General features: G+C 39.2%; 1 annotated feature.

The window, feature by feature from the left end:
- Nucleotides 2,678-2,967: an enhancer, noted in NCBI's record as "active region_24836". NCBI's record gives its function as "activates an Ori minimal core promoter by ATAC-STARR-seq in GM12878 lymphoblastoid cells {active_cell/tissue: GM12878}" and the evidence as "EXISTENCE:reporter gene assay evidence [ECO:0000049][PMID:35858748]".

Raw genomic sequence — 10,361 nt, 5'->3', positions numbered from 1 at the left:
GTTAAAAAAAAAAAAAAAAAAACACACTACAAAGCTACCATTCACCAAACCAGGGATAGAGGGAGATATGACAAATGCATCATATATGTTTAAATTTATTCACAGCCTAGAAATCATCATAGAAACTAATCTTTCCTTCAAATTTTATATCCTAAAATTTCAGCGGACATACTGTCCATTCAATAAATAATATTAGGCTGGGCATGGTGGCTCGCACTTGTAATTCCAGCACTTTCAGAGTCTGAGGTAGGACAGTTGCTTAAGGCCAGGAGTTTGCAACCAGCCTGGGCAACATAGAAAGACCCTGTCATAAATAAATAAAGAAATGGTTTGCAGCCAATAATCATAGTTTTAAATTAGTTGGGAAAATCTGTAGAGTCATAAAGCACATGTTTGCTCACTATTTGGATTACCAAAAAAAGAAAATGGTATGTTCACAAAGACCCATGCTCAAAGAATTCTTAACTAGTTAAAATCACCAACTATCCATAGAATTAAATTCAATGATTACAGAGAAAGGTTTGAAAAATATAGATAGGAATAATAAAACTATACTTATATGAGATAAAGAACTGGCAAAATATTCAGACTGACTAGTAAAGATTCTGGATTACTTAGAAATGACCAAAATAGACTAAAATCAAAATTGAACTTAACCTTTTTTTTTTTAACAAATTATATTCAAAAATCATAACATGATTGGGGAAATTGCTCATGGTATATGTGACAATTATGTAAGGCTTGATATGCATCAGATTCTTACACTGATGTGCTACCTGCTCTAAACTGTTCTCTTAGCCAATACCAGGAAAATACCTGTAAGTTTTTCTTTCTTTTGAGATGAAGTCTTGCTCTGTTGCCCAGGCTGGAGTGCAGTGGCATGATCTTGGCTCACTGCAACCTCTGCCTCCCGATTATCAAGGATTCTCCTGCCTCAGCCTCCCGAGTAGCTTGAATTACAGGTGCATACCACCACACCCAGCTAATTTTTGTATTTTTAGTAGAGACGGGGTTTCACCACGTTGGCCAGGCTGGTCTCAAACTCCTGACCTTGTGATCCACCTGCCTCAGCCTCCAAAATGCTGGGATTTACAGGCGTGAACCACTGTGCCTGGCAAAGTTTTTCTATTTTTATTGCTAGTACCTACTACTATTTTTCTGATTCTTCTGTCTCCAAAACCTCACTGCCATTCTTTTCTATAGTACTTCTTTTTTTTTCCTCTCTCTTTTCTTTTTCCTTTTGTTTTTTTGAGACAAGGTCTCACTCTATCACCCAAGTTGGAATGTGGAGGCTCACTGCAGCCTCCACCTCCCAGGCTCAAGCAATCCTCCCACTTCAGCCTCCTCAGTAGCTGGGACTACAGGTGCATGTCACCTGTTTAATTTTTTTACAAATTTTTGCAAAGATGGGGTCCCACTATGTTGCCCTGTCTGGTCTTGAACTCCTGGGCTCAAGCAATCCTCCCACTTCAGCTTCCCAAAGTGCTGCAATTACAGGCATGTAATCAGCCTCTTTTCTATAAAAATATTCTATTGCAGTACTTGATTTAAGGAGATTGTAGAAAATTTGGGGAAAGGTTCCAAGATATTGACACTTTGGTAAATAATTCTTAAGAGAAAAACCAAAAGAGCTTGATCTATTAAGTCAGAAGTGAGATAAGGAACATAAGGACTTTTTCTTGTTTGTATCCAGACCAATAACAACAACAAAAAACATAGACCTGTGAGCAGCTGACATGAAATTTGTGGTGACTAATTAATTTTTAATTAATTAACTTGTGCTGCCTTGTTCATCTACTAATTTCCAGGTTCCCAATGGCTTACTGATAAATTAGTCCTAATGAAATCAAACAGATCTAAAAGGAACCAGTGTTTCTCTCTCCTAGGATTATCTCCATGTTTCTAAAGACAGACCAAAACCAGAAGGTTACTTCCAAGATTTAATCTGTACCAACCAGTCCAAATATTATTGGTTTTCAAGCATTCGATTTCCCTGCACAAAGAGCATGTACTTTCTTAACAGTGACTTGGCACTAAACTCCGTCTTCAAATTTAGCTATGCAGTCTTGACTTTGAACTAGACAGGGGATTTCCATATTTTCCCCATCTTCATTTTAATAAAATGCCTCAATTTTCTTCAGTACTACTTTAAAAAATTCAGGCTCTGTCTCTAAGAAACGAAAGAGTAGAGTGTTGTAGTTTTATAGAAATTTAAATTTAAAGTTTCATATATTATAGGCACCATTCATAAAACTACATATGGAAATTTAGAACTTAAATTAAGCATAAATATTTATCAAAGAGAGGAGTAGGGGCAAGAAATGCATACAGCTAAGGATATGGTAGCTTGAATTAGGATCATGGTAGTGGAAATGAAAATTGAAAGCATTCAGTAAGCGTTTCAGAAGTAGATGGATAATAATGGGGATGGTGGGAGATGACAGATGGCAAGAGAGGAGGCAAGGATGATTTCTAAGTTTTTAGCTCAAGTGACTTGGGGGACACAGTGCCATTTACTGGGATATGTAGGCTAGAGTACAGGTATGAGAAAATAACCCTTTCAATTTTGTAGACATTTTACTTTTGAGAAGCCTAGTAGACTTCCAGATGAAGATGTCAAATAAGACATTAGATATATGACTTTGGGGCTTTGGGGTGAGGTCAGGGCCATAGGTGTTGATTTGGTGGTCATAGGCATAGAGACAGTATTTAAAGCCATAGTCCCTGATGAAGTAAGAGTGTAAAAAAAAAAAAGAGAGAGCGAACTGGGGCTAAGAAGCTAACCCTCATACATGTCACAGTTTAGAGGTTTTGGAAAGAGAAGACAGAAAATGAAACTAAAAAGATGTGAATAGAGAGGAGGAACACCAAGAGTATGAAAGATGAGACAGAGACCAAGAAAAGAAACTAACGAATGTCGCTGAGAGATGAGTCAAGTGAGGAAAGAAAATGACCTCTTGTTTGGGCTACATGAAGGTCAATAGGTCTTCAATGACCTCAAGAACCTTGACATGAGTCCACGGAGTTGTGGGGAGAAAAGCTTGAATGGAAGGTGAAGATGCGAAAATTGTGTCTGTAGTCAACTCTTTCAAGAAATTTTTTTAGACAGGAGGCCCAGAAGTGGTATGATTGTGAGAGGGGAATGTGAGGTCAAGGGGTTTGCTCTGTCATTGTTGTTGTTTTTATTCCTTTTTACTTTGGAAATTTAACCTACAAACAACCAGAGAATAATATAAAGTACCCTCATGTACCCATCACCCAGCTTCAATAATGATCAACTTTTTTGTTTGTTTCAACTATTGCCCCATTAAAATTGTTTTATTAAGGTAAATTTACAAAAGTAAAATTCACTGTTTTGGGTGTACAGTTCTGAGTGTGTATAATTGTATACAGCCATATATAACCACCACTAAAATCAAGACATAGAACAGTTCAATCACCCCCAAATGGTGCTTCCTGCCCCTTTGTAGTCATCTTCTCCTTTCACTCACAGATCCTGAGTCTTCATCTAGCTCTTCTAGACTCTAGACCTCCATATCTGACTCCCTGCTGGAGAGCTCTACTTGTATGTCTCATAGAAATGTCAGATTCACTATGTTTAAAAATAAATTATTGGAAATGAAAAGGCAAGCCACAGACTGGTATAAAAAATATTTGCAAATCATAGCTTCAACAAAAAACATATATCCAACAAAGACCTTATTATTGAGCTACTGTGATTCAATAATAAGACAAACAGCTCAATTTTTTAAATGAGCAAAAGATTTAAATAGATACTTTAACAAAAAGATATACAGATGGCAAATAAACACGTTAGAAGATGCTCGACATTATTAGTCATTATGGAAATGCAAATCAAACCACAACAAGATAGCACTGCATACCCACTAGAATGGCTAAAATTAAAAAGCTAGACCATATCATGTGTTGGCAAGGATGTAGAGCAACTGAAGCTCTCCCATATACTGCTGGTGGGAATGTAAAATGATATCATCACTTTGGAAAATGGTTTGTCAGTTTCTTTAAAAGTTAAACATATACTTAACCATATAATTTAGCTATCCCACTCATAGATACTTACCCAAGCTATAAATGAAAGCATGCCCAAGAGAAAGAAAAACATCATCTGTACACACAAAGACTTGTACACTCATGTTCCTAGCAGCTTTATTTGTAACAGTCTAAATTAAAAACAACCCAAATGTCCATCGACAGGTGAATGAATAAAAAATTTTGGTGTATCTATACAATGGAATATTACTCAGCAATAAAAGGAAGTGAACTATTGATACACACAACGTGGATAGATTCAAAATAATTATGCTGAATGGGAGAAGCCAAACAAAAAGGAGTAATTCATATAGTATTCAATTCATGTCAAATTCTAGAAAATCCAAACTAATATACAGTGACAGAAAGCAGATCAGTGGTTCCCTGGGATGACAGGGCACAGATGGAGTGATGGATTATAAAGGAACACCAGGAAGCTTTTGAAGATGATGGAAATGTTTATTATGTTGACCATGGTAATGCTTTCATGGGGTACAAACATGTTAAAACCCATTAGATTTTACATTTTAAATGTGAGCTGCTCATTATATGTCAATTAGGTGTCATGAAGCTATAAATAAAACTTAAATTATTTATCCTTCCCTTAAAACTTGCTCATCCTTTGCTATTCCTTCGGTGAATGGCTGTACCCTCTTCTCAACCACCCAAGTCAGAACCTTGAAGTCATCCAACTCCTCTCTTTGACACTCACCCTCCCATTCAGTGCTTACGTCCTATTCACCTGAGCTATTTTCATACAGAGTTGTAAAAAAAACTCTGCTCACCCTAAAGCATGTTTCAGAGAAACTCCCAGAATCCAGAATATATGGGTTTTAAGACGATAAAACCATAGGTAGAAAGGTTAACAGTGAAGAGTACGTTTTTCTCTTAGCAGCCCTATCCCCTACACTTGAAAACTTTTCCTGAGTAAAAGCTTGGGATGATGATCCAATAAGCCTGAGCTTCCTGTGACCCTTTAGAGATAGAAACGTGTCCTGTGTGCTGCCAGGTCACCAGGAGGAATAAGGGAGTTGAGATTTTGAGAAGCCAAGTTCATATACAGAAGGCACTGCTCTTAGTGGAAAACTGTACTAAAGTTGCTTTCATCCTAGTGTGCACATTGTTTGGATCACCATTTGGAAAAAGCAACTCTTAATATTAATAGGTCTTGGATGGGAATACATGCTTAATTGGGAGGAAACAAAGTAAGTAAATTGCTCAAAAAGAAGTGGAAATAATAGACATGGGAAACCCAGGGAATATATAAAATAAACATATATAGGAAAACTTGAAAAGGAAAAACAAAGGAATGAGAGAAAATAGACCAAACCACTAAAACCAAACCAATGTGACAAGGGGGAAACACAGTAAAGTACTAAAAAATATATATATACAAATGATGTGATGCATAGTTTTTATTGCTTTCCTCTATATGCAGTTTTCCTGCCAAAATATTAAACACATGCAATCATGATTTACATGCTGTGTATAAAACCAAACAAAATATACACAGCCTTCAAATAAATGTTCATTGTATTTTACTTAAAATCAGTGATGTCCCATGATAGAGGCACCTGGAATATCACGTCTAAATACTTTTTTATTCAACCTGAGAAAGCATAAATTTAAAAAGATGAAAATATAGAAAAAATTAAAAACATAAATACTTTTTGAAAGCATGACATGACAAATATTCTTTGATATATGTAATCCCAGCAGTTTGGGAAGCTGAGGCGGGTGGATCACCTGAGGTCGGGAGTTCGAGACCAGCCTGACAAACATGGAGAAACCCCATCTCTACTGAAAAATACAAAATCAGCCGGACGTGGTGGCACATGCCTATAATCCCAGCTACTGAGGAGGCTGAGGCAGGAGAATTGTTTGAACCGGGGAGGCAGAGGTTGCGGTGAGCTGAGATAGCACCGTTGCACCCCAGCCTGGACAACAAGAGCGAAACTCTGTCTCAAAAAAAAAAAAAAGAATAGATATCAGTATATTACTCATTACTCATATAAGCCTATGACTTAAAATTTGTATTTTATTTCTAGGACATTTTCAAGTACTGTCCTCAATATACCTCTTAATACATGATGGTAGAGAAATACAAGCTGTTTGAGAATTAATTATAAAAAATTGGAGGGAGTGGGTTATATGGAGTGCTGCCTATTTTTAGCTCCTCAACCCTAAAACTACACATCTGATATTTAAAAATGAAGATCAAATACAGTTCTCTTGGATGCCTGCCCTCAGCTCCTGCCTCACATGTGATCATTTTGGCCACAGCTCTGCTCTCAGTGTGTCTTTGCATGACAGTTTTTTTCTTCCTGTTTTTAAGCATTACTGACTTCCACTGTCTCTCTGGACCCCTCTAGGCATATTGTGGTCCAGCCTTTAGCTCATAGGCCCTTTAATTATGCCATGTGCAGGAAGCAGGTTGGAAAGGATGGCAACTGTAGACATATCTGCCAACAGATGAGTGAAAATGTGCCTTCACTTGCCTTATGCGCTGGGAATATCTCTGACAGAAAAGAAAAAATATATATCTACATATATATATGACCTCTGTCTTGCTGTCAGGGTAGCGAAATCCATTGTGATCTGTTGTGTAGGTGTCAGCTCCACCATTTTCTAGTGCCTGGAGGCAGATTTAAGTTGAGTACTCAAATGCAACCCGAAATCATCTCTCTGAAATCTAAGTGAAATGCACCTATTTTTTCCTTGCTCCATTTATCAAGATTATCTGGAAATTCTCGACTACTTCTATTTATATATTCATTTTCTGTATTTTATCACTTTGAAGTTTCCCCTAATCACCAGGGAATGGCTCAACATATTACTGCTGCTTGAATGTCACTTCTAGCAGGATGATGTTGTCACATTAATGATCCTGTGACCTTTAGGAATAAGAAATATATAAACACCAACTGCTTCCATTAGAAACAGTGGTTCCTTCCACCGTAAAGAAAAATATAATGTTCACATATTGAGTACAGAGTAATGGAAATCCCATTCCAAGCTTAGAGAAAAACTTCCCTGCATTTATGGCTATAATACCTGAAGTTACCATCTGTTGGATTTTTCCATAAAATCCTCTCTGACTGCAGTGGACTAACCAGCATGCTTTCTGAAAATAAATTGGTATAATTTCCAGTAAATGTGGTAGATGGAACTGACAAGTTCAGGCCACTTTCCCACTAGAAACACCTAAAATTGTGGGATAAAATAAAGCAAAATGATTTACTTACTATATAGTTGAGCTCAAACTAAAGAAAGGAAATTTTCCAGGAGCTGGGAAAGAAGCCGGCACCAAAACCTAAAATGGTAAGAATAGAAGTGTTGGGGACCACACAGCCAACAGACCCAGGCGTGGGCCTTCGGGGCTTGAGGCTAATATTTTAATGTCTTTAGAGGAACAGAAGAATTGAGGCTTCAGCTATTCAGAGGCAAGGCATGGCAACAGCATTATTTTTCACCATCTGTGAAATAGGACCCTGGCCAGCTCCTCCTGCAAGCCCAAGGGAGCATCTATCTCCTGGGCACTAGGCAAAGAGAATCACCTATGAATAATCAGAAAGCTAAGCTTGAGCCTTTGTCTGTGGTATCCAAATTTGTGATACCAGCACGATATAGGATTTTAAAAAACTGGTCCGGAACCGACAAGAGTCCTAGAGTCTCTGCAGAGGAAGACATAAAGGAAACAGCTCAAATGAGACTTCCACAGAAAACTTGATTGCAGCTGAGTTCGCAGTAAAGTATTACACTTACGGAAGGAAATAAACTGCTATGAGGAAGAGCGGGGCATGCAGACCCAGGAACTAAGGTAACAGAACAATCAGAAAAAGTCTATACAGTAAATATGATTATAATACTTAAACAGATTTTAAGGGTAATATGGAAAGCAATCAGCTAAGACTTTCCCCCGCAATGAACTAGGATGGGATGAATATGGGTGGTCACAGATACACTAGCTGGTACAATGTCCCAGGCATTGGGAGAGATGAGGGAAATGAACATTATAAGGACTGTGGAATTTAGCCGCTGTTGCTAAGTACCACTGATTGAAGGGTGAAAGAAAATGACAGACTCAGATTTATTAACCACTGAAAGCAAAGTGTGAGAATTAGGGGGTGGGGGCCTCTTAACAGGCTTTAAAGAGACTAATCTTCTGCAGCCAGAGGGCAGAGGACAACCAAAAGATGGGCACAAAGCTTAATCAGATGAATGGCAGAACTTCAGAGAAGACTGAATTCTCAGCCTAGGCCAGTCTCCTATGTCAAAGTCAGGGTCCCCATGGGGAATGAGAGGGATCCTGAGAGCTGGGATGTGATATCTGGGTAGATTCAAATGAGAGCCTTAGATCTCCAGTTTCTTCGGAAACTTCTGGAACTTAAAAAAAAAAGTCCCCCCTTACTACTTTCCTGAAAACTATTTAGAGGCATCAAATGAAGAAGGAGCTTGACCTCCGGGATCTGCTCTTTCCATGGCCACCAGCTTCATACTTAGGATCAAATCTCAGCAGAACCAAAATGGGGAGGAGGGCCTGCTAAGGGTGGAGAGAGATGATGTCAAGGTTGCTGCAGGACCTGGCTAACAAGAAAACAGGAATGGGGGTGATTTGGCAAGAGTGAGGAGGACATGCAAGGAGAGGATTCTCTGGGTACCAGATCAAGGTGAGTGAAACCTAAAGTTAAATAAGGGGGAGTTTACTGATATGGGGGCACTCTGCCATAACCTTTAACAAAATTTAACATCCTCCCAAGGGCCCTAGGTGACGTTTCTAATACTCTGCTTAGATTCCTCTTAAAATCTTAGAAAAAGTGATAGTTCACATTCAGTAAAGTCGAGATGTGATTATTGTAGTGGCAAACTGTAGAGAAACGGATCAAAAGGCTCAGAGAAGAAGACATGCTAGAATGGATCTAATCCTGCTGGCTGACCACTATGGGGTCAGTCCTTCCTGGAGAACAGTCTATTTTCCAAGGTGAGAAAGAGTGCACTGGTGAGGGAATGCCAACAAAGCTCAAGATGCATGTTCTTTGTAAATGAGAGTGGAAAACAGAAGATGCCAATTCATATCTCAGCTCCCTGAAAGCAATGGAAGCAATGGTATCCCAGAGGAGCAAAGGCCAAATGGCAATATCTAACCATCAAACATAAGATGGGTGTGACTTCAATAACAGGCAGCAAGGATGCAATGGCAGCATAGATCTACAGGGATCTATGAAGGTAGCTCAAGGAACATGGTGTTCTTAGGGCAACACAGATGGGCAACTAACAAAGGCATATTTAAAAGAGATCAAGAATATGGAAGGCCGAGGCAGGAGGATCACTTGAGCCCAGGAGTTTGAGACCACCCTGGGAAACATGGTAAAACCCCATCTCTACCAAAAATACAAAAAAAAAAAAAAAAAATTTGGCCGGGCATGGTGGCGTGCCTGTAGTCCCAGCTACTCGGGAAACTGAGGCATGAGAATCACTTGAACCCGGGAGGCAGAGGTTGCAGTTAGCCAAGGTCATGCCACTGCACTCTAGCCTGAGCGACAGAGCAAGGAGAAGGACTCCATCTCAAAAAAAAAAAAAAAAAAAGATACAGAGATCAAGAATAGAGGAGCAGAAGCCTGGAGTCAGCCAGCCCAGTAGAGAAACATGATCTCCTCCTGCTCAGTGCCCAGGCCAGAACCAGTTTTCTAACCAGAACCCACTGACAAAAGGACAGACTGAGTCTCCATGAGGTTGGGCTCTGTACCACCATGGCAAGAATATACTGTATTGATTCTCCCAGTCTTTCCCAAGACATCCTATGGCCACTTGCTCAGATAAACATATATTAGGAGAAGGGGACTACTCAAAGTACCACCATGGCCCTCCCATTGGAGTAGTAGTAAATGGGGAGGTTAGATAGTCGATGGAGTTCTCACCTAGTGCCATCTCACAGCAGGTTTCACTCATGCACAGACCCATCTCATGGTCGTTTCCTTGGTTCCTAAATGCATATTTGGAGTAGGCATACTTAGGAGTTGGCAGAAAGCTCACATTTGTTTATTTTTTGACCTATAAAATAAGAACTTGAGGTAGGAAAAGCCAAGCAGATGCCCCTGAAACTCTCCTCTGACCAGGACAGAAAATCTAAACAATATCAGCCCTGGAGGGGGTGGCGGGATTATTGTCACCCTTCAAGACTTGGGGGACTCAAGAGTGTTGGTCTTTGTTATATATCCCCTTTTAATTCAATAGATTCTCTCTCATATAAATTGAATGGATGAAGGCACTTGATGGTTAACTGCTCTAACTTAACCAAGTAGGAGCCCCAG

The sequence above is a fragment of the Homo sapiens genome, chromosome 6 (assembly GCF_000001405.40).
Source record: "Homo sapiens chromosome 6, GRCh38.p14 Primary Assembly".
Classification (NCBI taxonomy): Eukaryota; Metazoa; Chordata; class Mammalia; order Primates; family Hominidae; genus Homo; species Homo sapiens.
This window is presented reverse-complemented; position numbering and strand designations above follow the sequence as displayed.